Source organism: Homo sapiens, chromosome 1 (genome assembly GCF_000001405.40).
Source record: "Homo sapiens chromosome 1, GRCh38.p14 Primary Assembly".
In the NCBI taxonomy this organism is placed as follows: domain Eukaryota; kingdom Metazoa; phylum Chordata; class Mammalia; order Primates; family Hominidae; genus Homo; species Homo sapiens.
The window spans coordinates 181002912-181029128 of NC_000001.11; the positions used below are offsets into that span (position 1 = coordinate 181002912).

The 26217-nt window shown below is 41.8% G+C and overlaps 1 protein-coding gene across 2 annotated transcripts in view, besides 3 other annotated features; it reads right to left on the reverse strand.

Moving 5' to 3' along the window:
• STX6 (syntaxin 6) overlaps positions 1–19959 on the reverse strand; it is a 50146-nt gene extending 30187 nt beyond the window's left edge. Inside the window, exons 1-2 of one of the 2 annotated variants that reach the window (NM_005819.6) lie at positions 19728–19959; positions 2383–2552 (exon numbers count right to left, since the gene is read on the reverse strand). In NM_005819.6, the coding sequence (NP_005810.1) occupies positions 2383–2552; positions 19728–19762 (205 nt within the window). In that variant the 5' untranslated portion in view covers positions 19763–19959. The remainder of the gene's footprint in view (positions 1–2382; positions 2553–19727) is intronic. The other variant, NM_001286210.2, reaches the window with a different exon arrangement.
• Positions 19699–20482: an enhancer, noted in NCBI's record as "NANOG-H3K27ac-H3K4me1 hESC enhancer chr1:180991746-180992529 (GRCh37/hg19 assembly coordinates)". NCBI's record gives its function as "activates a minimal SCP1, AML or CMV promoter by ChIP-STARR-seq in primed H9 embryonic stem cells {active_cell/tissue: H9 hESC(primed)}" and the evidence as "EXISTENCE:reporter gene assay evidence [ECO:0000049][PMID:30033119]".
• Positions 19891–20020: a silencer, noted in NCBI's record as "silent region_1599". NCBI's record gives its function as "represses an Ori minimal core promoter by ATAC-STARR-seq in GM12878 lymphoblastoid cells {active_cell/tissue: GM12878}" and the evidence as "EXISTENCE:reporter gene assay evidence [ECO:0000049][PMID:35858748]".
• Positions 20141–20240: a silencer, noted in NCBI's record as "silent region_1600". NCBI's record gives its function as "represses an Ori minimal core promoter by ATAC-STARR-seq in GM12878 lymphoblastoid cells {active_cell/tissue: GM12878}" and the evidence as "EXISTENCE:reporter gene assay evidence [ECO:0000049][PMID:35858748]".

The following is a 26217-nucleotide window of genomic DNA, read 5'->3' on the forward strand; positions in this document are numbered from 1 at the left end:
TTAGGAAGCATAGCCCCTGCTGATGAGCTTCACTGCAAACACTTAGGGCTATCTGACCACAGGTGAGCTGGGCTCTTCCTGTTTGCCAACACTTGTGTCTATCCTTTTTTGACTCCTGATCACCTTTACTAAGACAGCTTTTGCAAGCCTTTTTCTCCTGCCATTCCAAACCACTTCCCATTATGCCAAGATGCTAACCCTACTTCTTAATCTAGAGAGATCGGGCCTTCTTCAGAGAAGCTGCCCTCATTCCCTTACCCTCTAGCCTGGTCCGACGCACCATGTCAGACACTTGCATAGCTCTCTATACTTCTCGTTCATAGTCTGCAGGTATCTATTTGTGTTATTACTTGATTACCATCTGTCCCCCATCCCTATCCACTCAAAGTTCTGTGAGGGCTGGTATAGTGTTTATTAATCTAATCTCTGTAACCAACAAAATGCCTGGCACATAGTATACTCAATAAACACTTGCTGGTTGAATGATGAGTATCTATTAAAACTTTTGTTTTTTTAATCTCACATTTTCTCTATCTCCCCTAACTTTTTTTCCTTCCCTCCTTTCTCAAGGGAAGAATTATCTCCCTGTAACTGTGCTTTTGATCCTGCCCCCTCACATATTTGCCACTAATTTTAGAGAACATACTTGCCTTTTAATAATGTAAAAGGTACCAGGGTCATCATGAATAACAAAAATTATTTACTCCATGTATCAACTGCATACGAACCTGTGCTAACTATAAGGTGATCCTGACAGAAGCTGGTTTCCTTATGTTTTATCTCACTTAGGGAAAAAACAAAACAGAACTCAGAACATGCAAGTGGCATATCTTCCATCTAAAGTTTTGGTTAAGTGGGATTTCCAGTTGGAAAAAAAGGCTATATAATGAAGTTTTTACAGTTCTCCAGTGCATGAGTCAGATCAGTGGACTTACTTCACATCAATACCATGAATTAGCAGAGCAGATCTGCTTTTACTAAATGCAGTTTCATGGAACAAGACATCTCTTCAATGGACGGTAGCACTGTAACATCACTTCTTAAACATGAAGACAGTCTACAAAAAGATTTTTTGATCTCTAATTACCGAAGTGTAACACTGGCCTGTATGGACCTCTATATGATAATGACTGCTAACACTATTACATAAGCTGTGTGCCAGGTGCCATTCTAAACTCTTTACCTGTATAATCCCAATAATCCTATGAGCTAGGTACTCTTGTTATCCTAACTTTCCACTAAAGAGGAAACGGAAGCACAGGAGGTTAAGTGATGAGCCCAAGTCACATGGTAACTGGTTGTGATACTGTAATAAATGCAAATTCGGTCTCTGCCCCCTCATTTCTGGCACACAGCTCCTTGATCCCTTGGAATCTCCAGATGAGTATCTTTTGTATGTTAATGGGATAATTGATGGCTGGGGGTTTCTAGATAGCCTCAGGACGAGGGGCTGGTCCCCAGAGAAACCAACCATGTGATTAGACAGTTGAAGCTTTCAGCCCCCTGCTTAACCCCACCCCAGGGGAAAGGGGCTGAAGGCTGAGCTGATCACCAATGGCCAACTGATGTGATCAATCATGCCTGCGAAATGAATCCTCCACAAACACCAAAAGGACAGAGTTCAGGAAGCTTCCAGATAGGTGAACATGTGGAGGTTCCTGGAGGCACCTGAAGAGGGCCTGGAAGTGCTGCACCTTTTCTCCCATACCTTGCATGCATCTCTTCCATCTGGTCATTCATCTGTATCCTTTGTAATATCCTTTACAACAAATGGATAAACCTAAGGAAACTGTTTCCCGGAGTTCTGTGAGCTGCTCTTGCAAATTAAATTAATTCGATCTATGGAGGGGGTCGTGGGAACTCCAATTTATACGTGGTCAGTTGGAAGCGCTGGTCACAACCTAGGGCTTGCAACTGGCATCTGAAGTGGGGGCAGTCTTGTGGGACTGAGCTCTTAACCTGTGGACCTGATGCTATCTCCAAGTAGACAGTGTCAGAAATATCATACTGACTTGAGTGTGAGGGTAGAGACTTAAAAAAAAAAGAAAAAAAGGGTTTTTTTTTTTTCCCTTTACATTGGTGGAGGCAGGACTTGAACACCAGAAATCTGACTCCAGGGTCCACAGTCATAATCATTACACTATGCTGCCTTTATATATATATATACATTTATAGTACAGGATTTGTCACACACTGTATAAGAATTTGGCTACTGTACCTTAAGTTACTGGGCAAATACTTTAAACATGTCATGGTACAAGTAAGAGCAACAAACATTAATCGATTATAAAATGTTTCATCTACATACTGGAAACAACTGGAGAAAAACTTGTCCATTTGTCTATTTATCCCGAATGGCACAGACACCACAGAAAAGGATATTGATGGTTTCATCAAGGTCCTCTAGATCCCACTCTATGCTCCGGAGGTTATTTCTCAGCTCGTTGGTGGTCCAGTCGATTTCTTCCCTTGTTGCTGTGGAGGGGTCCTGGAGGAGCTCTGTCCATCTCTGAAACAATCCCTGGGCAGTGTTGACTGCTTTCTGTACCTCTCTGTAATCAAGATGAGGCAAAGGAGAGAAATCACAGACAACATTCCATGGTCAAGTTACTGCATGATTTAGGTTAACATTTATGATCATACACCATCCTCAGCAACCACCATTCCCACAGAAGGCTCTTCACAGACAAATATCAAAGTTCAAAACTTTGATACACAGTCTGAGTATTATGTTCTCAGCTGATGCTTGGAATACAATAGCCATTATTTAAGCAGCTACAATATCAAGTTTGTTGGGGAAGGACAAATTTAATATTTTTCTCTGAACAGACTATACGTAAAAGTATAATGAAGCAATCCTACAAATTAACTAAAGGGCAATGAGCATTCCCACATGCTTCCACTTGGTGTGACAGTATTAATAATTTATACTCAGATGATAAGTCCTAATATGGCCTTTCTTTTCTTGGTGTGGGAGGAATGAGAATGCTGGAGGGAAGGTTACTCTTACATAGCTACCATTTTATTATAGGTTAAGTATTTTAATCCGAGAAATTCTTAAACCCAAAATCTCATTCAATTTCCAAACATTATTAGCTTTAAATATACCTACTTTCCTTAATTAAGCAATACCATATACCAGATTAGTGTTTGTTTTTGTTTTGTTTTTGAGAGGGAGTCTTACTCTTTTGCACAGGCTGGAGCGAAATGGTGCGATCTTGGCTCACTGCAACCTCCACCTCCCGGGTTCAAGTGACTCTTCTGCCTTAGCCTCCCGAGTAGCTGGGATTACAGGTGCCCGCCACCACGCCTGGCTAATTTTTGTATTTTTAGTAGAGACGGGGTTTTGCCAGATTGGCCAGGCTGGTCTTGAACTCCTGATCTCAGGTGATCCACCTGCCTCAGCCTCCCAAAGTGCTAGGATTACAGGCATGAGCCACCACGCCCAGCCACATTAGTGTTTTTCTTGTTTAGAGAATGAGACTAGGCCATTAAGTGCTATGATCTAGCATGCCTTTAGATTAGATATAGTCACAAGATTTTAAGAACTTTTACCCCCACCATTGGGCCAATATCCACTATTTAAATGTTATAATCTAATACTATCACATATAAAAGCCAAAAAGGAGTCATTTTATAATCATATGGTCTCTCATGTTCAAAGATGATAATCCCACTGCTCCTGAACTATAAGAACTGTTTTGATCCTTCTATGATTTCTTCTGGAACAAAGACCACAAAAACGTGTTCTAGCTGATTAGGGTGTTTGTTGTCTATGGCTTTAAAACAGAATTCACACGCATCCTATACCCTCTGACGTTTCAAGTATTGGAAAAAAGAAAGCGCTAACAAAAATGAAAAAAAGCACCTTACAATATTTAGGTCTATGGCATACTGATGAGAGCTAAGAGGCGGAACGTTAAACAGAGAATACAGCTTCTAGGTGCAGGCTGAGTAAATAAGCAAACTATATGGACAACAAATCTACCAACGTCTATTCATCTAGTTTAAGGCTTAGGCAAGTCACCTCATTGTTCCTTTCATGTCAGCCTTTAGACTTTCAGTGCTAATGAGAAACCCTATTTAAGATAAAATGGGGAAGAATTAAGTGAGGTGAAAATCTACTTTCTTTACTCTTTATGGGATCTGGGTGATTTAGTGGAGAAAGAGCTATGTATCATTCCTTAATGCAAAGTAAGTCATCCTTTGGTATCCTTAGGGGATTGGTTCCAGGACCTCCACAGGATACCAAATCTGCAGATGCTGAAGTCCTTACATAAAGTGGCATAGTATTTGCATATAACCTACGCACATCCTCCTACATACTTTAAATCATCTCTAGATTATTTATAATACCTAATGTAATTTAAATGCTATGTAAATTGCTGTTATACTGTATTGTTTAGGGAACAAGAAAAAAAAGTCTGTACATGTTCAGTAGGGATGCAACCATTCTTTTTTTACTGAATACATTCAATCCTGAGTTGGCTGAATCCACAGATTTGGAACCCACAGAGATGGAGGGCTGATTGCATTGGTTTATTTGTAAGTACTGAGTATCATTTATGATAATGGAAGACAGAGTTGAAGAGGTTATCTGTAAAGACATCTTTTAAAGAATATAAAATATATCAATTCTGTAAAGTAAATATGAATTCCTTCTTGAGAACTAGAAGCCTCAAACCAAGAAGCCTTGGGCTAGGGCTTAGGTTTGTTCTCCACCACCAGTACACAATGATGATGCTGGAATTAAATTCTAAGTAGCAATCTATGAACTTTTTTGGTCTCAGGAGACTCCTTTGAACTCTTCAAAATTACTGAAGACCCCGAAGAGCTCAGAGTTATGTATACTATGTATCTAATCTATTTACTATATTAGGAATTCAAACAGACATTTTAAAAATATTTGTCAACTTTAAAATGTGAGCTTACATGTTAACAATGTTTTTATTTTAAAAATTCTAAAACAAAAAAAATGTAGTGAGAATGGCATTGTTTTGCATTTGTGCAAATCTCTTCAATAAATGTGGATTCTCATATCCACTTCTACCATCAGTCTGTGGACATACATTTTGGTAGAAGCATATGATGAGAATCCAGCCTCATACAGATACATACTTGGAAAAGGGAGGAGAATTTTAATAGTCTTTTCGGACAATTGTGGATGTACTTTTTTGATAGTATACCAAAACTTGACAACTGGCTGTTAAAGGTTAGCTGCAATGTGGATCCTAAAACTGTATTAAAGAACTTTTTAGATTTTCTTATTTTACAGTAATAATTTTCTTGTTTTTCTTAGCTTACCAAGTAAAATGGGAAGGAGTATCTCAGTCATTAGGGCGCTTTGTTTCCCTTATACTACGATCCATTGGTCAATCTTGTACAGGCTGAGATTCCGTTATCCAAAATGCTTGGGACCAGAAATGTTTGGGATTTTTTCAGATTTAGAATATTGGCATTGTACTTACCAGTTGAGCACCCCAATCTGAAAATCCAAAATCCAAAATGCCCCCAGTGAGCATTTCTTTTGAGCATCTTGTTGGTGCTTAAAAAGTTTTGGATTTTGGAACATTTCACATTTGAGATGCTCAACCTGTAATTTGGATCTTTTACTTTTGGATGATTTTATAACATCAAATAGTGGTCATTAGGAAAGTATTAGTCTACTGAGTATTGCAGAACCTCCAAATGCCAGCTCATTTCAATACACAGTATCCAAAATCATATTTGTTATTATCACCACCAGTTTCATCAGAAAAACTTAAGTGTTGGAAATCTGTAAGAGCATAGTAGTTGATATAAGCTTTCCAAAATTGTTTTTTTTTTTTTTTTTTTTTTAAACAAAAGGCTCTAATTTTATCACTGGTAAAAATACTGTCATTTATTTTCCATGAAGTGACAGGTTCACCTCACTCATTTGTGAGAAAATATCTCGAGAATTTTTTAGATAAATTTGAGATTTGAGAAAGCCTGCAAGTCTGAGAAACCAGTTTGTCATTCTCTCCAGTAAAAATGAGATTTTGCTCGGGGCGGGGGGAAAACAGCTATTTCAACTCACAACTCAATCACATAAGTGCTTTTCCTAGAGACAACCATTTTATTTAACAATACATCACAAAAATGCTTCACGCAAACTTCCATTTTGCCAGTGGAATATTAAAATATATACTAAGGGAGAAGATATTTACAAATTATATATCTGATTAATGACATATCCAGAATATATATTTTTTTAAACTCTCAAAACTTAATAAGAAAAACCCAATTAAACAAAGCCAGCTGCAGTGGCTCATGCCTGTAATCACAGCATGTTGGGAGGCCAAGGCAGGTGGATCACTTGAGGTCAGGAGTTCAAGACCAGCCTGACCAACATGGTAAAACCCCATCTCTACTAAAAATACAAAAAAATTAGCCGGGCATGGTGGTGGGTGCCTGTAATCCCAGCTACTCAGGAGGCTGAGGCAGCAGAATCACTTGATCCTGGGAGGCAGAGGTTGCAGTGAACCGAGATCGTGCCATTGCACTCCAATCTGGGTGACAGAGCAAGACTGTTGTTTCCAAAAAAAAAAAAAAAAAAGCAAAAGATTTGACCAGTCACTTCACCAAAGACATACATATGACAAATAGCACAGGAAAAGATGCCCAATATCATTAATGACATGCAAATTAAATCTTCAATTACATACTACTACATATTTAGAATGGATTAAAATGAAAACAAAATGACAATGCAACATGCTGGAAAGGTGGTGGGGTAACTGGAATTCTCATACCTTACTGGTGGAAAGCACAATAGTACAGCCATTTGGAAGAGAGTTTGGTTGTTTCTTGAACATATATTTACCATACCCCAAAGTCCCACTCCTAAGTGAAATGAAAACTTATGTTCACACAGCCAAAAATTGTAAACAACCCACATGTCCTTCAACTAATGAGTGGATAAACTGTAGTATATATGTATAACAGAATACTATTCAGCAATAAAAAGGAACAAACTACAGCTACATACAACAACATAGATGAATCTCAAATGCATTAGGCTAAGTGAAAAAAGCTAGATTCAGAAGGCCACGTACTATACGATTTCACTGACATAACATTCCGGAAAAGGCAAAATTATAAGAACAGAAAACAGTTCAGTGTTTGCCAGGTGCTCGACATGGGGGAAGGACCAGAAGGCATACAGAGAAACGTTTTGGGGTGATGGATCTGTGCTATATCCTGCTTGTGGAAGTGATGATTACACAACTATATGAATTAGTCAATTTCACAGAAGTGTACACCAAAAAGGTTGCTTTTTATTGTAGGTAAATTATAACTTTAAAAAAATGAGAAAAATTATACTTGAGGGTCAAGATTTTATAAAATTATTAATTTTTACTGTTTCATGAAGAATATTCTTTTTTTTGAGACAGAATCTCACTCTGTCACCCAGACTGGAGTGCAGTGGTGCCATTTCAGCTCACTGCAACCTCCACCTCCCGGGTTCAATCGATTCTCCTGCCTCAGCCTCCCGAGTAGCTGATATTATGGGTATGCGCCACCACACTCAGCTAATTTTCATATTTTTAGTAGAAACAGAGTTTCACTATGTTGGCCAGGCTGGTCTCAAACTCCTGACCTCAAGTGATCCAACCGGCTCAGCCTCCTAATGTGCTAGGATTACAGGTGTGAGCCTCCGCGCCCGGCCTCATGAAGAATATTCTTAGGGGAATATGACTCTTTTTTTTCTTTTTTTTTACTGTTAGTACAAGCTGATGAGGAATACCACAGAAAGCATGGCACGACACCACTGCCTTGATTTTTGGTAAGGCACCAGGAGTTTTAGCCACCACAGCTTTTTTTGGCACCATCAGTGCAAATGTCAACATGGTGAAAAAGGCAGATAATATCTGAATATTATCATGAAAAGAGTTTTGAGCTAGTGGATCTTTCTGTGAAAGGATCTTGGGGATCCCTTGTGATTTACAGGCCATGCTTTCAGAACTACAATGTCTTAAGACACTGTTAGACTGAAGTTGAGGAGTGTGCATGGGTGGATTCTAGTAGCACTGAGTGTGAAGCCAAGGAATCCTTAAGTATGCAAGAAGCAAAGCATGTCCTGAGGAAAAAAATGAAAGAAATGGCAGGAATTAGAAAAATGCTACAAAGCAGTTGCAGAATAAAGCTCAGCACCCTACAGGCCTGACCAGCAACTTGGCTTATTCCATTCTAAAGCTCTTATTTTTAAAAAGAGGATTCATGTTTAGTTTTCATTTAGTAACACAGACATAAGAAAGGTAAACTAGTCGTTATTTTACATTTTTAAGATGGATGTTTTAAGGGATCACAAAGGTGGAAACTGCCAGCAATGGCTCAGATCTTGAAAGACAGCCAGAATCTGCAGTGTATCAGGGAATCCCATCTCAATAGCAAGCAAAGAGGTCTCTCTAAGTGGAAAACCTCCCAACTGTTCTTCCAATATCATTTCAGTGTTAGCCTGAAAAAGAAGGCATGAACTGGAAGCAGAAAACAATGTTGGTCACAAGTCTTATTTGGAAGCCAACTATTAATGGTAACCAGAATTTTCTAAAGCATGTGGGATTTCTAACAGCTTCAAGAGCCACAAGACACACCTAATAATGTACAAATCTAACCAGGGAGACAACCCTCTCAATCCAGAACCACTTGTAAGTACTTGCAACTAAAAACTGAAGATTACTTGGCATTCCAAGTAAGTCAATTCATAAAACAGTAACATATAATCATGTCACCTATTTGAGATTTGTGAGGGTTTTTATAAGAGAAGTGCCCATCTACTTGATTTCACATTTCTTTCTCAGGAAAGGCAAGGGAGTTGTTTCAGTATCAGTTGGCTAGTGAGGCATGACCCACAAATGTCTACCCACCACTGTTGTCCGTTCTACACAACTAGCCCGTGTGAGCACTTCACTTTGGGAGGAGCACTTCACTTTGAGGAGCACTTCCCGTTGAGTGAGCAGATACAACTGCTGACTGCTCAGGCAACAGAGATCCATTTTTGTCTGTCTCCAGAAAGGTGACAATCACAGATAGTGCTTCTTTATCCCTTATCTTTATGTCTGATTTAGCTATTTTTTTCCTCAACTATGTAATCAGAAAAATTAAAGTTTGATACCCAGAACTTTCCATGAGAGAGTATATACCATGAAGCAGTATATACCTTGAAGCAGGTATACCTTGAATTGTCAGAGTTCTTCAGCTTAGCAAACTTCTTGGTAAATAACAATCTGCTCACCCACAGCTTGGAGAATCACATCTGGCAGCATTTCACTGAAAACTTGCTGATGACTTTCCTAGGAATTATAGTTTTAGCTGCTGACCCAGAGAAGCCTTTTTCAAATCCTTGAAAGAGAAAGACGGCTATCTCCACACATCAAGCAAATCTTGCGCTATCCGTCACACATGCTGCCCAAATCAGTTTCATCTGATACAGGTAGCATTTCGTAGATACCAAGAGCCAGTGTTGGCAATTCTAGGGATGTGGCTTTTCCTCCCTGCTGTCTACAAAACAGCCCATCAAAATCATGGAACCTGTCATCTTCTCAAGGATTAAACTCCCTACAGACACCAGAATGAAGGCTCTTCATGGCAAGTCACCACAATGCCCACAGGACCACTTGCAATGCAGAACTTTCCCAGTAAGTAGCTGTCAAAAATGGAAACACTGCCCACATCTTTGAAGAATGCATCTTTTGGGAAAAACAAAATAAAGTCATCTGAGCATTCAGATTCTTCCATTCTTTTTTTTTTTTTTTTTTTGAGATGGAATTTCACTCTTGTTGCCCTGGCTGGAGTACAATGGCACAATCTCAGCTCACCACAACCTCCGCCTCCCAGGTTCAAGCAATTACCCCGCTTCAGCCTCCTGAGTAGCTGGGATTACAGGCATGCACCACCACGCCCGGCTAATTTTGTATTTTTAGTAGAGACGGGGTTTCTCCATGTTGGTCAGGCTGGTCTCAAACTCCTGACTTCAGGTGATCCACCCACATTGACCTCCCAAAGTATTGGTATTACAGGCATGAGCCACCGCGCCCAGCCAATTCTTCCATTCTTCATAAATAAAAAGTTGATTCTGGCAAACCAACCTCATTTATTTTTGAAGTTAGCCCAACATTGATCCCTCGTCAGATAGTTGAGCCTCTTCCATACAACCTCCCAATATGGTACATCACCAAACTAGCCTCTGGGGCCACAAGTAATACATTCAGTCCAAATACAGTCCAAAAAAAAAAAAAATCACAAAGTTTTCTTACTTGCATCTAACCAAGTTTGCCAAGTAAAATGAGAAGAAAGAGTATCTCAGCCATTAGGGAGCTTTGTTCCCCAGTATTTGTCATTCAGTTGTACCAACAAATTGCGTAAGTGTAGCCACAACCCCCATCATCCTTTTTCCTGTTGTGGTTGAGACAGGGTCTCACTGTCAACCAGGCTGGAGTGCAGTGGTGCAATCACAGCTCACTGTAATCTCGAATTCCTGGGTTCAAAGGATTCTTCCGTCTCAGCCTCCCAAGTTGCTAGGACTACAGGTGCACACTACCACGCCAAGCTAATTTTTTTTATTTATTGTAGAAACAGGGTCTCGCTGTTGCCCAGGCTGATCTCAAACTCCTGGCCTCAAGTGATCCTCCTGCCTTGGCCTCCCCCTTCATCGTTTTGATTTATCCTTTCTTCTTTGCCCATGCTGGCAGACTCTGAATTGGCATGTTCTAGTTATCGTGGTTGTTTAACAATGACCCCAAAATTTAGTGGTGTAAAACAACCATTTATCATGTCATGGAGTCTGTAGATCAGGAATCAGACACAGCAGAGCTGACTTGTCCCTGTTCCACAATGTCTGGGACCTCAGCTGAAAATATTAAACAGGCTGGGGCTGTAAAGGCATCACATCTCTCTATCTCTCCACAGTCTGCACACATGCTCTAACAGAGTGGCTTCAATGTAACTGGACTTGTTACATGTTAGCTCAGGGTAGCCTATACTTGTGTTCCAAGATGAAAGATGCAGATGGAAGGTATAGTGGTTGTCTTTTATGACTTAAGCTTCAGGAGTCAAGCAGCGTCACTTCTGCTTCAATCTGCTAGTCAAAGCAGTTTATAAAGGTCTGCCCAGGTTCAAAGGAAGGGAATACAAACTCCAGTTTGATAAAAGAATGCCAGCTTCACAATTTAATAAAAACAAACAGCCGGGCGTGGTGGCTCACGCCTGTAATCCCAGCACTTTGGGAAGCCGAGGTGGGTGGATCACCAGGTCAGGAGTTCGAGACCAGCCTGGCCAATACAGTCAAACCGTCTCTACTAAAAATACAAAAATTAGCCGGGTGTGGTGGCATGCACCTGTAAACCCAGCTACTCAGAAGGCTGAGGCAGAAGAATCGCTTGAACCCAGGAGGCGAAGGTTGCAGTAAGCCGAGATTGCACCACTGCACTCCAGCTTGGGAGACAGAGCAAGACTCCATCTCAAAAAAAAAAAAGAAAAAAAAAGAAAGAAAAGCAACACAGGACAGAACATTTATTGGTGCAGCCATCAATGGAAAAAATACAATCTGCCACAACTCTTTTATCTGGGACAGCACCTACTCTGCAAGTCTTTACAGAGGGATCCCCATTTCATCAATACAGTAAAAGAGGCTAGTCAAGGCTGAAAGTTTCCATTCTAGTAATGAAACATGAAAAATTCAGGTTGAGTGAGCCTCTGCAACACATCAGACTCCCACTCCTCACTCTTCTCCAACTGGTTCCTGCCCCATACCCCACAAACCTGGTTTCACCACTCATCTCTCCAGAAAGAGAGGAACTCTTTTTATTGCTTGACTTCTACATTCACATCGTTTGTATTTGAAAGGAAACACATGCACACCCTTTACTTGACTTTATTGCCATTTCCAAATTCAACCACACTGTGACATATTTTGTAATTACTCTTGTGAAAATGAAACATCATTTTTACTCAGTTACCTACAATTATATACAATTTTTGACCCTAACTTACTGCTGCTTCCACAACTCCACCAATGACACTGCAGGTCAAAGTCACGAGTGAATTTAACTTGTCCTCATTTTTGGTGCACTTGACACTATGGCCCATTATATCTATTTGCTTGAAACTCTCACTTTCTCTGTCTCTGTGACATTGTGCTGTTCTAGTTTTCTACCAGTTTTCTCCTTCCTCTTCCTCCACTGGATCCCAATGTTTCTCAGTACTCTTTGTGGCCTCTATGTGCTCATCAGCATTCACAAGTTCAAAGCACCCCTCTTAAGCTGATGACTCCCCCACTATACTTCCAACCCTAACCACTCAGCCAGGCTTAATTCCTATATTTTTAGCTGCCTATAGGATCATTCCATTTGCCTAAAACCAAATTAATCATATCCTCCCTACAAAACATAATGTATTCAAAACAAACAAAATAGAAAAATCTGCTTCCCTTTCTAGCTTCCTCATTTTAGCCAATAGTGCCACCATTTTCCAAGTTTCAACACTTGTCTAGACAAGAGTCATTTTTGACTCCTCCTCCTCCTTACCTTGCACAACCTCTACTTAAATCCAATCACTGAATTTTCAGATCTGGAAAGAACTTTCAAGATAATCTAGTTTGTGCTCCTTAAACATAAATAAGAGACCTTGGGGCTCAGACATATTGGCTGCTTGCCTCAAGTTCTTCCAACCCTGATTATAAGACACTTTCTATTACCAAGACTTATTTAATTGCATTTTTCCAAAACTTCCACACAAATCTTTTTTTTTTTTTTTGAGAGGGAGTTTTGCACTGTCACCAGGGCTGGAGTGCAGTGGCGTGATCTCAGCTCACTGCAAAAGAGGGTTCAAGCAATTCTCCTGCCTCAGCCTCCCAAGTAGCTGGGACTACAGGTGCCCACCACCACACCCAGCTAATTTTTTGTATCTTTGGTAGAGATGGGGTTTCACCATGTTGGCCAGGCTGGTCTCGAATTCCTGACCTCATGATTCGCCTGCCTTGGCCTCCCAAAGTGCTGGGATTACAGGCATGAGCCATCGCACCTGGCCCACAAATCTGTTTTCTTTGTAGAATCAGAAGATCTGGGTTTGAACCCTTAAAAGCTGACTATAAGCAAGTGAATAGTAACTGCTAGTTTAAAAACTGCCTCCTGATTTAGAATTTATGATAGAAATCAGATTAAATTTAAACTCCTCAGGCAGGTATTCAAACCCTCTCCCACTCCTCCTCCTAACCCAAACTGGCTGACTTTAGTATCAAGCATGGTTTCTCACTGAACAAATTCTGTTTCAGTTGGCAGGTCTTCTTCCCATCTTTATCTTTCTCATTCCTGGTTCTTGACTTCCACTCAGTTGTTTCCCCAGCCTAGAAGAGCCTTACACCTCAGCAGACACTTCCTTTAAGGCCCAGATTGACCAGCATTCCCAGCATGGGTCTTTCTTTTTTTTTCAATCTCCACAGCATCTCAACTCTACTGCAAAATCTTACACAATATATCTTTCACTTATCTGCATAGTGTTCTCCAAACTAAGGAGCTAAATAATATTAAACACTCAAATTTATAATAAAGGCTTGCAAATTTGTTCTTACAACGAAACACTGGATTCTGCTTTTTAGAAAGTATTAAATTTGATTTACATTCAATTTTACTAGGCCAAAATTAACAAACAAGGGTTATTTTTTTCACAGTGACTATACCAATACAGTTTTTCAACAGTGAATAGAATGCGTGATGCCCTCGAGGAGCTCATAATCTAGTGTTAATAAAGCTAGATATGCAGACAGAGAAGGTTAAAGAACACAACATAACATATACCATCTTACTCATCAGCTTACTTATGTCATTATTTCAACATCAATCCACAGCCAAAAACCTGGAAATAAAACTGTTATCATGCTGGGTGCGGTGGCTCATGCCTGTAATCCAAGCACTTTGGGAGGCCGAGGCGGGCAGATCACCTGAGGTCAGGAGTTCAAGACCAGCCTGGTAAACACAGTGAAACCCTGTCTCTACTAAAAATACAAAAACTATCCGGGCGTGATGGCGGGCTACTCGGGAGGCAGAGGCAGGGAGAAGTGCTTGAACCCGGGAGGCGGAGGTTGCAGTGAGCCAAGACGCGCCACTGCACTCCAGCCTGGGTGACAGAATGAGACTCTGTCTCAAAAACAAACAAACAAACAAAAAAACCATCCTCGGCTGGGCGCAGTGGCTCATGCCTGTAATCCCAGCACTTTGGGAGGCCGAGGTGGGAGGATCACGAGGTCAGGAGATCGAGACCATCCTGGCTAACACAGTGAAACCCCGTATCTACTGAAAATACAAAAAAAAAAAAATTAGCTGGGCGTGGTGGCGGGCACCTGTAGTCCCAGCTACTCAGGAGGCTGAGGCAGGAGAATGGCGTGAACCCGGGAGGCGGAGCTTGCAGTGAGCCGAGATCGCGCCACTGCACTCCAGCCTGGGCAACAGAGTGAGACTCCGTCTCAAAAAAACAAACAAACAAACAAACAAAAAACTATCCTCATCAGACACACAAAACCTCCACAGCAATAAAATAGCAAAGAGCCATGGTATTTGTACCTTTTATCCACAGGAGTGGCTCACTTATACTCTGTCTCCACATGCTCAGTTACATGGTTTTCTTCAGGGTTTGTCTGATTAGAAGGTGCAAATTCTAAAAGGAGGCTAATTCTAAAAACTTGCCAACAAGGGAGGAAAAAAACTACAGAACTAAACAATCAAAATGGGTTCACTCAACAAACACTGAGTACATCCTTACTGAATACAAAGATGAAGACTACAAGATTTAAATATGATATTTTCACCCGGAGATTAGTAAAGATTTTTTTAATGAAAATCCCAGTACTGGAATCAAGGGAATTGGGTCCCTCAAACACTTTGAGGGGCAAGGGGGAATATTCTGGAGGACAACGTGGTAGTATGCATCAAACGCTTTGCTGTGCCTGCCCTCTGAATTAGCAATTATGCTCCAGGAATACAGGCTATGAAAATCAGAAGCAGCAATACAGACCTATGACAAGTAGGCTTATCACCACATTAATTGTAGTGTGATCATAAATATAATGTATCTTCCAGGATGAACATTTATATGACAAAATACAATGCAGTCATTAAAAGCTGCCACCCAGAAGTCTGAAGGATATAAAGAAATACAGATGAAAACGTCATAAAACAGGCCAGGCGCGGTGGCTCATGCCTATAATCCCAACACTTTGGGAAGCCAAGGTGTGTGGATCACCTGAGGTCAAAGTTCAAGACCAGCCTGGCTAACAGGGTGAAATGCCATCTCTACTAAAAATACAAAATTAGCCAGGCATAGTGGCGCACATTGGTAGTCCCAGCTACTTGGGAGGGTGTGGCAGGAGAATCGCTTGAACCCAAGAGGTAGAGGTTGCAGTGAGCTGAGATCACGCCATCGCCATTGCACTCCAGCCTGGGCGACAGAGTAAGACTCTGTCCCAAAAAAAAAAAAAAAAAAAAAAAAAAGAAAAGAAAAAGTGATAAAACCATATATAACGTATAATCCCAATTTTTAAAATGACCATATTATATATATAATATATATTTGTAATAAATATATAAATCCTGGCCCTTCTACGTACAAGCTTATAAAGTTGAAGTTTTTTACTAAGTTTCATTTTCCTTTTTGTGAAATGATGACAATAATAATACCTACTTCATAAGGATAAAAGAGCAATCCCTGTTGTGGGATTCTGTTCCGAACAGGACATTGACAATGTCAAAACCTCCCAAAAGGAGCTTCAAACTTCCAAGCACTAACCACTGCATGTATAAGTTACAACAGCTTTCTAACTGGTCTCCTTTTTCATCTTTCCTCACACTGATGCATCCAACACTACCACCAAATCAATATTCCTAAAATCCTAATTTCATGTCATTTCCTTGCTTTAAAAATCTGTAATGGCCTCAAGATGAGATTCTCCTTAGGCCAACATAACTTGACCCTATTTTACCTGCACTGGGAAGTATTGACAGTAGTGTGAAATCAGGTTGTTCTAATTTGAAGCCTGAGTACACCACTTATTAGCTGTGTGACCCTAGGCAAGTAAGTTAACCCCTCTAACACTTCCTCAGCTTCTCATCTCTAAAATGTGGCTAGTATTCATCATATGGGTGTTTTTACAGAGTGAAAATTCATATAAAGTGCTTACTTAGCACTTTACATGTATGCCTGGCACTGGAGATGCATCCTTTAAATGTGAGCTGTTACTACTTCCCTAAACTGTCTACTCCACCTGGGCTGCTCTTCCAGATCATTTCTAACACACATTGCCCAACTTAGGCCTTTGGCTGGTGGTGTTCTCACCCATGAGGCACCATTCCATCACAATCACCACCATCAACAAAGAGTATGTGTTCAACATTTACACTATATATTCAAGGTGTAGGCTGGAAATACAGAGGAAAAAAAAAAAAAAAACAGTCCCAAACCTCAGAGCTCATAGTCTAATAATGAAAGAGAGACAGAGGAAGAGGTCCAATAATTAGGGGTGACAAAGGAAGCACTTCCTGGAGGCAAGGGAGATGCTTACACTGACTCCAGAAAGCTGCGTGGGTGAATCAGGCAGTGTGGGTGCATGTAGAGTAAGAGCATCCAGTACAGCAATCACAGTCACTGTATTGAGTCTGGCACTGCTGGAGTACTAAGGCTAAGGGAGAGCAGAGGCTAGATCAGTGAGGTCAGGAAGTGTTGGCACTTTATTCTGCAGGCCAGCAGCAGCCACTGAATAATATTAAGTAGGGTACACCTGTCTAGGACTCTAGAAAAGCTTACACTGTGCTGTCCAACACGGAAGCCACATACAACTACTGACTGGAAATGTGGCTAGTGTGACAGAAATTAAATTTTAATTAATGTAAACTTGGTAACTGATAGCAATTCAGTTATCAAAAACCTTTTATGTATGTTTGGAACAATTAAAGAGTATGTAGGCCGGGCGCGGTGGCTCACGCCTGTAATCACAGCACTTTGGGAGGCCGAGACAGGTGGATCACAAGGTCAGGAGATCGAGACCATCCTGGCTAACATGGTGAAACCCCGTCTCTACTAAAAAATACAAAAAATTAGCCGGGCGTGGTGGCGGGTGCCCTGCCCATAGTCCTAAAAATACAAAAATTAGCCAGGTGAGGTGGTACACACCTATAGTCCCAGCTACTCAGGAGGCTGAGGTGCAAGAATCGCTTGAACCTGGGAGGCAGAGGTTGCAGTGAGCCGTGATTGCACCACTGCACTCCAGTCTGGGCAACAGAACAAGACTCTGTCTCAAAAAAAAAAAATGTATTTAATGAACTTTAAATACAGATCAATTATTTCTGATGAAAATTTAATGTCCAAATTTAAATGTGCAGTAAGTGTAAAATATGTATCAGATTTAGAAGACTTAGTACAAAAGTAAAATATCTCATCAATAATCTTTAATCACATGTTGAATATTTTGAATGTATTAGAGATTACATTAGAATTAATTTCACCTGTTCCTTTATATTTTACTGCGGCTACTAGAAAATGTAAAATGACATACATGGCTGGCATTATACTTCTATTGGACAGCAATGATCCAATAGATCCCAGGACAGCTGAAAGAGGAAATGAGACCAGAAGCAGGAAGAACAATTAAAAAGACTCTGATAAGCATCCAGGTAAGAGAGACAGGCCTGATTATCTAAATTCTGCCCATCTTCAAAACCTAATTCAAGATACACTACTGCCTCCAAAAGCTCTCCTAATCCTAACAATTCCCAAGGAGTTACCTTTCTCTGAACTCCTGAGGCACTTATCTGTAGCATTCACTTCAACACTCATTCATTTGCCACCTGTCATTTCTATTTAATTTTGGGGTAATTTGTTTCTCAGATTAGACCAGAAGCTCCTAGGCTAAGGGCCATAATTTAGGCACCTTTAATTTTTGCATGCTGTGTAATGCATTTTTGATACTTTTAATAAACACAGGTACATGACTCCCCAAAAATCTGGATACACCTTCATGGGTGACTTTACCTTTCCACAGCAGAAGGAACTGAGAATCTCTTTTCCTTCAAGAACCTTAAAGATAGGAGCTAAAATGATGTAAAAATCAATCAAAACTCCCTCCAAGCCAATGTTCCGATAAAGTAGTGATATTTAATCAGTGAGCAAGCATTAGTAGACTGTATAGGATACCATCAAGAAAAAAAAATGCCAAGACAGAAGAATTTAGGCTTTTGACAAATTCCATAAAAAGTCAAACAAAAAATTTCTGATCATCTCTGATCTCTACCGCCAGAGATAACCTTTGCCAACCTAAGCATTAAGAACTTTCAATCAAGGAAAAAACATCTATTTTAAAAATTAACCCCTAAATCAATCCTTCTAATAAATATCACATTTTCTAGGTAGGGATACACATATTACCAGTAAATTTACAACTCAGCATTTTCCCATCTAAATTAGAGTAAGGTGAAGAAAAAAAACTTTCCAGGGAAATATTAAGAAGTAGTATAAATGTATTTTACTGCATAATCGATAAAGTATTTCACCTAAAATACCATTTAAATTTTCTACAACACTTGACTATACAACGGCCAGCTTGCACCACTACAGAAATAGGAAGCTAGCAGCAACTAGTAAAAAGCAAGGGACATTCTGTGGTGATCAGTACTGACCTGGGAACTTTGCAGTTTTCAGATTTTTCATGTTTGACATTTAAAACAGAAAACTGACAAGTTTCTAATAAGAAACTAAAAGTTACATCAGAATTGATCTTCTTGCATGTGTTTAATGGCTACGAAGTGGATATTACAAAGTGCAGTTGAAGACTCTATCTCCAAAGAAACAATCGAGCAATCAAAGATGAGCTAGGATAGCTTGTAAGGGAACAGAAGGCAGTCCTTTCTATTCTGAAAGGCAGAAGAAATAGGAGAAACCTGTCAAACAACCTGGATGAAATCAAGGAGTTAACAAGCAACACTCATTTCCTTTAGCACTGTGAGAAAATTCCGGTTGCTAATAGAAAGCTGAGGAAAGTTTGGTTTGGCTTGTTTCATTTTGTTTTCCTTCCAAATCATCACTGAGTATGAACGACTGCTTTCCTCTCCTCACATTACTCAGTAAAAACTCCCCCATTGAATTGTCTTCCGGTGCCCTGCTCCCCAGCCTCCCAGAACGGCCCCCGCCCCCGCCTCCCTCCCAGCAAACGTGCTCAGACGCCTCTGGGCTTGTTGTGGTCTCGCCAGTCTGCGGACAAGCGCTCCAAACTCAATGGACAATGGAGCTCACCCCCGTCAACGCGAACTACAAAGCTCAGGAGGGCCATTTCCCTTTTCCTGCCCAGATGCTGTTTTCGCTCCTTCGAAGCAAGATCCCATGCTCGACTAGACGGCCAGTGTGCGCCAGGACCCGCGTGTCTCCTTCCCCACCTGCAGAGCTGCTGAGCCCCTCGGCCCCCAAATAAATTGTACCGCAGCACACAGGCCAAAAAGGGCCCCCCACCACCAGGGGCTTGGCTGGGGACAGTGGCTTCACGGTCCAGGTAGGGATGGAGGGAACGTCTCTTGACGCTTGGTCATGGCCCTCAAGACTAAGCCGTCTCCACTGTTCCCCCTCCCCAGCTCCAACTTGCCTCCCCTCCCCCCACTGCGAGAAGACCTAGGAGGTGCGGGCAGGCAGCACCGCCACCTCTTCCTCCGGTGGAGCGCTCGGCCGACACTCACCCTTTCACCACAAAGAAGGGGTCCTCCATGGACATGGCGTCCCGGCCCCGGCCGCCTTCACCTCCTCCGCGCACAGGGCGCCCGTGCCTCCCGGTCTCCCTCCGCCCACCCCGCCTGTTCCCGCAGCTGCCCGCGCCTTAGTCTGGGTGAAGCCGAGCAGCGGGCACGCGCACAGGCCAGGTGCACAGGACGGCCGCTGGTCCAGCACTCGCTCAGCACCACTGGCCGAATCCCGGACTCGGGCGCCGGCCCCCTCGGCAGCCTCCAGTCCCGGCTCCTCCCGAAGCGTCGGAGGGCCTGACCCCACCCCCGGGACCCTCGGCCGCGGCCAATCACGAACGCCGCCTGAAACACGACTTCCGCACCCCGCTCACGTGACCAGGGCATATATCTCTCTCTCTCTCTCTCTCTCCTCTCTCTCCTCTCTCTCCTCTCTCTCCTCTCTCTCCTCTCTCTCCTCTCTCTCCTCTCTCTCTCTCTCTCTCTCTCTCTCTCTCTCTCTCTCTCCCCCCCCCCCCAGTGGGCGGGGCTTACGCCTGCGTCCCTCGGCCCTGGAGGCGGAGCCCTCGGGGCGGTGGAGGTGGGCGGGCTTCTACAGCCCTCTCCTCAAGCTTGAGGGTGAGGAGTGGCTTGTTCCCTCAGAACTAGGCAGTCGGCTTTTCAGGATAAGCTGTAGTTGTACCTGATTTGCAAAATCCTCTTACCTTTCCTCTACTTTTAATACTTAATTTTGACAGTATGTAATTTATAAATCTATCTGGTCCTCGACTTAAAATGAAGCATAGTATCTGATTATAATGTTACACAGATCCTTTAAGTAGGTCTTGCTTTGTGTTGGACAGTGTGCTAAAGGTTGTGTATGCATCATCTCAGTATCCTTTGGGGGAAAGTATTATTCCCCCCTCCCCCTTTTTGGGGGGCAGGGTCTCTCTCTGTCACCCTGGCTGGAGTGTAGTGGCACAATCACAGCTCACTGCACCCTTGACCTCCTGGGCTCAAGCGATCCTCCGGCCTCAGCCTCCCGAGTAGCTGGGACTACAGGTGAGCGCCACCACGCCCGGCTAATTTTTAAATTTTTTATAGAGATGGGGCTCTCAGTATATTTCCTAGGCTGGCCTTGAACACCTGAGCTCACATGATCCTCCTGCCTCTGCCTCCCAAAGTGGTGGGATTATGGGCGTGAGCCACCACACCATCCATTTTTCTCATTTTGTAGATAAGAAAATAAGTTCAGAGAGGCTTGAAGACTTCCTGTAGTCACACAGCCTGGACAGGGCAGAACTGCAGATTCTGTGCACTTTCCACCAGATGGGGTGTACTTTCTGTTGCTGTACATTCTGCAAATAACCATGTAAAGTAATTTTTCATACAGCATATGGTGCTTCCCAGGAGAGCACACCTTCGAGGAATAAAGAAGGGGCCAGGTATGACAACTTCCTCTCACTGTGGTTCAAGAGCTATTCGAGAAAACATTTTGCCCAGAACCATTAACCAACTCATATGCTAGATATGCTATGAAATTTGTGGATGGGGATTGTGGACTTTGATTGCTGAAAATCATTGAGCACTTACTGTGTGTGTGTGTCAGGCAGGATGTTAAGTGTTATCTCAGTTGCTCTTACAATGTGATAATTACTGCTATCATGCCCATTTTATAAATGAGAAATCTGAGACTCGGAGGTTAAGTGACTTGCCCAAGGTCACCAGTCTGGAGCTGGCACAGTCCTTGGAGCAACACAAACCCCGTTTAAACCTTGGCTCTATCATTCAGTTCCTCATCTATAAAACATAAATAATAATAGCTAGTTCATGGGTTGTTGTGATGGTTAAATAAAAATGTGTGTAAACCTCAAGATCCCAAAGGACTAAGTTACTGAAGTCAGGAAAACCAGTAAGGACGCTGCTAAAGTCATGTGGCCTGAAGGGATGAGGTCCAGACCAGGATGACAGCGATTGAGAACAGAGAAGGAGTGAATCTGACAGATGTTTCAAAAGGAAAACAAGACTAAACACCTAGACATGATGAGGGGCTGAATGGGTTTCAGGAGGGGAGAGAAGAGAGGGGTGAAAGCCAAAATCCCTGGAGGAGCGAATGATGGAAGGCAGATGTGGGGAAAGGAAGCAGTGTCCAATACTAGTGATTGCTAATGTTTATTGGGAGAGAACTGTTTAATTTACTTAGCTGGGGAGGTGAAAACGTGTCATCGTTCATTCATTCAACAAGCACATGTAAATTGAGGGGTAGGTGAGCATGGTGTTGAAGACCATCCTTGGAGTCTGATTGCTTGAGTTCTGCTGCTTCCTGACTGTTGCATCTCAGGCAAGCCGCTTCATCTCTCACTATCCTCAACTGTGAAATAGACACCGTAATAACAGCTTCCTTATAGAGTGTCATGAGGTGATGTGTGAAAAGTGCTTAAAACAGTGCCTGACACATGTTGTGCTCCTACTGTGTGCTAAGCACTGAGACACAGGCATGAACAAGGCTTGGTTCTTGCCTTCAAGGAACTGTCAGACTGGTGGGAGAGACAGACTGGTGGGAGAGACACACAGTGAGAGAAGGGCACAGGTTGCCATAGAAACACAGCGACAAGATACCAGTATATTTGTGTGTTTTCGGGGCTGGGGCAGGGGGTTCCTAAGCAGTGACTAGAAGCAGCCAGGAGAAGGGGGCCATGTTGCTGGAGTAGAAGGAAAAGGATGGGGGCAGCAGGAGCTAAGCCTGGAGGTGGACAGGGTCAGATTATCAGGGCCCTTGTTTGTAATGTTCAGAATAGTGGACGCTTCCTATGGACAGTTCCCCATGGGGACTGAGGGAATTGACAGGGTCAGATTGGCATTTGAGACAGATGCTTCAGTGGCTAGGAGGTTATGGTCCAGAGGAGGGATGAGGGTATCCTGAGCTGGGCTTGTGACAACTAAGGTGGAGAAGAGTGATGCATTTGAGACATACTTTAGAGGCAAAGTTAGTATACTTGGTGACTGATTGGTTCAGGGTATGGGGGAATTGATGAAAGAAGAGGGAGGAAGGCTTCTGGGGTTGTAAATGGGTAGTGTTGGTTCCAACCATCAAGAAAGAGAACACAAGAGGAGGATTTGATTTAGGGTGAATGTAAATTAGCTGTTAGCATGTCATTTATCCCCACCAAACAGTAAACTCCTGGAGGGACAGGATACTATGTTAATGTTATTATCACCTAAGTGCCTGACACGGCCTCTTATTATCTGTTCCATGAATTTCTTAATTGGACCACATATGACAGGCCAGAGTTTTATAAGTAGTAATAGAAGATAGAGGACAGAGGCTTGGGTTCCCATAATTAGGGGATTAGAAAAAGCACCAACAATGGAGATAGTGGAGTGTCAAGATATAAAATGTGTGTATGTGTGTGTGTGTGTGTAGGTGTTCCTTTCTTTAATGTGTCACCCTCCTTTACCCTCTCTCAAACTAGACCTTGGCCTCCACTGCCCACAAGGAAAGGGAAGCTATGGCTAAAATGCAAGGAGAAACAAAGGAGGTTCTTTCTTTCTTTCTTTTTTTTTTTTTTCATTTAATAGGACCCACGTCCTGGCATAAACAATAGGTTGGGAAGAATACTCAGCAAAAACCCATCTCTTCCCACACCCCCACCCCTACCCCACCCCCAACCCAAAAGAATAATTTAAATTTCTCAGGGAATAAAAAATCAAAACAGTGGTTGTCTTGGGGGACAGAGTTTGACTGGGAAGGGAAACTTTCTTGGGTACTAGAAATGCTCTGTATCTTGACGGAGTGTGTGTTACATGAGAGTATCATTTGTCAGAATTCCTCAAACCGAAACTCTTAATTGGACTTAACTTCTGTTCATTTTTCTGGGGGAGGTTGACATGCCAACTCTGAGCTTTCTGTAGAGTTCTGAGTGGGCAGCCAGGAGAACCTCTGGTTCCTGAGTGAGTCTCCAAAGTTAGGAGAGTGAATGAGGAAGGGAGCACACTGGGTCCTGCAATGCATCTTCTGCAGAAATAAGGAGATGGCAACACAGAGAATAAGGCACAGGCAGCCAAATGAGCTGAGGATCAGAAAGGAGCCAACCATATCACTGGGGATGCCAGGATAGACCTGAGAGGGATTGCAGTGGGTAGCCACCCCCTGCCCCTGGAAGCTGCGGGAATGCCATGACACCCCTACAAGGGGATCTCCCCTACTCTGAAATAATGACATTCAGCCTGCTCCTTCACTAGCCTGTTATAAGGAACAACTGGATCATATATGGGAATAATTTTTTATTTTTTAAATTTTTTATTTTTTAAATTTATGAGGCCGGACATGGTGGCTCACACCTGTAATCCCAGCACTTTGGGAGGCCAAGGCGGGCAGATCACAAGGTCAAGAGATCGAGACCATCCTGGCCAACATGGTGAAACCCCATCTCTACTAAAAATACAAAAATTAGCTGGGCTTGGTGGTGCGTGCCTGTAGTCCCAGCTACTTGGGAGGCCGAGGCAGGAGAATCACTTGAACCCAGGAGGCAGGGGTTGCAGTGAGCCAAGATCACGCCACTGCCCTCCAGCCTGGCGACAGAGCGAGACTCCATCTCAAAAAAAAAAAAAAATTTAATTGTGGTAAAATACACATAACATAAAATTTACCATCTTAACCATATTTAAGTGTACAATTCAGTAGTGTTAAATATATTTGCCTTGTTGTGCAACCAATGTCCAGAACTCTTTTCATCTTGCAGAACTGAAACTCTATACCCATTAAACAACTCCCCATTCTCCCCCAACAATCTCTGGCAACCACCATTCTACTGTGTGTCTCTATGAATTTTACTACTCTGGGTACCTCACATAAGTGGAATCATACAGGATCTGTCTTTTTATGATTTGCTTCTTTCAGTTAGCATGATATCTTCAAGGTTCATTCATTCATTCTACATATTGCAGAATTTCCTTCCTTTGTAAGCCTAATATTCCATTGTATATATACCACATTGTGCTTGTCCATTCATCCATCAGTGGACGACACTTGGCTTTCTTTCATCTTTTGGCTATAATGAATAATGCTGCTATGAACGCTGGTGTACAAATATCTCTTTGAGACCCTGCTTTCCATTATTTTGGATATATACCCAGAAGTGGAACTGCTGGATATGGTAATTCTATTTTAAATTTTTTTGAAGAACAGTCATATTGTTTTCCATTTTACATTCCTGCTAAAAGACACACGCATTCCAATTTCTTCATATCTTCATCAACACTTGTTATTTTCTGGGTTTTCTTTTCCCTTATAGCAGTTGTACTAATAGGTGTGAGGTGGTATCTCATTATGGTTTTGATTCACATTTCTTTAATAATTAGTGATGTTAAGCACCTATTCGTGTGCTTATTGGCCATTTGTATATCTTTTTTGGGGGGTGGGGAGAAATGTCTATTCAAGTCCTTTGCCCATTTTTGATTGAGTTGTTTTGTTTTTGTTGAGTTCACCCTAAATCCTTCTTGAAACAAGGTAAAGAAAGGGAGAAAAGTGTTAACATAGATATAGGATATCATACTCTTCATCATTATCCAACCTTTTAGAAACCCTGATATACATGTACATATTCCAGAACATTCCACTTATGTTAAGTTCCATTGATCTGGCTATGACTGTCTATGTTTCCTACCTCCAACCACAGAAAATATCCATACACATATCCAAAACACACTGGCCATGATTTATTTCCTCTTCCTGTTTGTTACCAACACCTCCACCACTGTCACCCTCTACACACTGATTTAAAATAAACAAGGAGGAATTCCAGTCAATTTACATATTCAGCACTAAGGAATGATGGAGAATTTGTGGAACATCCATTTGGTGGTCATTAGAAATGTTGTTTAAAAGTATGTAATGACATAGGAATGGCTTGAGTAAAAACAGCAAGACACAAAATTATACATATGATACAATTTCAGCTCTGTTCTTTCTTATACATTAAAATGTTTTGGTACATAGAAAATTTTTACACGTAGGAAAAAAGAAATCTATTTAAAGTTTGTCAACTACTACAGTGAAATATTTACTTGGATAGTCAGAAATCCAAAAAGTTTTTTAAAAAGAAGAGAAAAAGTAATAAAAGAGAAGTGAAAAGCCAAGTGACCACATACGAAAAAGTACATCAAAAGTTAGCAGTTTTCAGCCTGAGCAACATGGCAAAACCCCATCTCTACAAAAAAAAAATACAAAAATTAGCCAAGTGTAGTGGCTTATGCCTATGGTCCCAGCTACTCGTGAGGGTGAGGTGGGAGGATCACTTGAGCCAGGAGGCAGAAGTTGTAGTGAGCCATATTCACGCCACTGCACTCCAGCCTAGGCGACAGTGAGACCCTGTCTCAAAAAAATAAATAAATAAATAAATAAATAACAGTTTTAAATCCTGTTTAGAATAAGGCAAGTTAGGAGGGTCTGAATGAATGGAAATTGGTGAGTACTAAAAAGCTGAAATACGTTATTGGAATTCAGTGAATT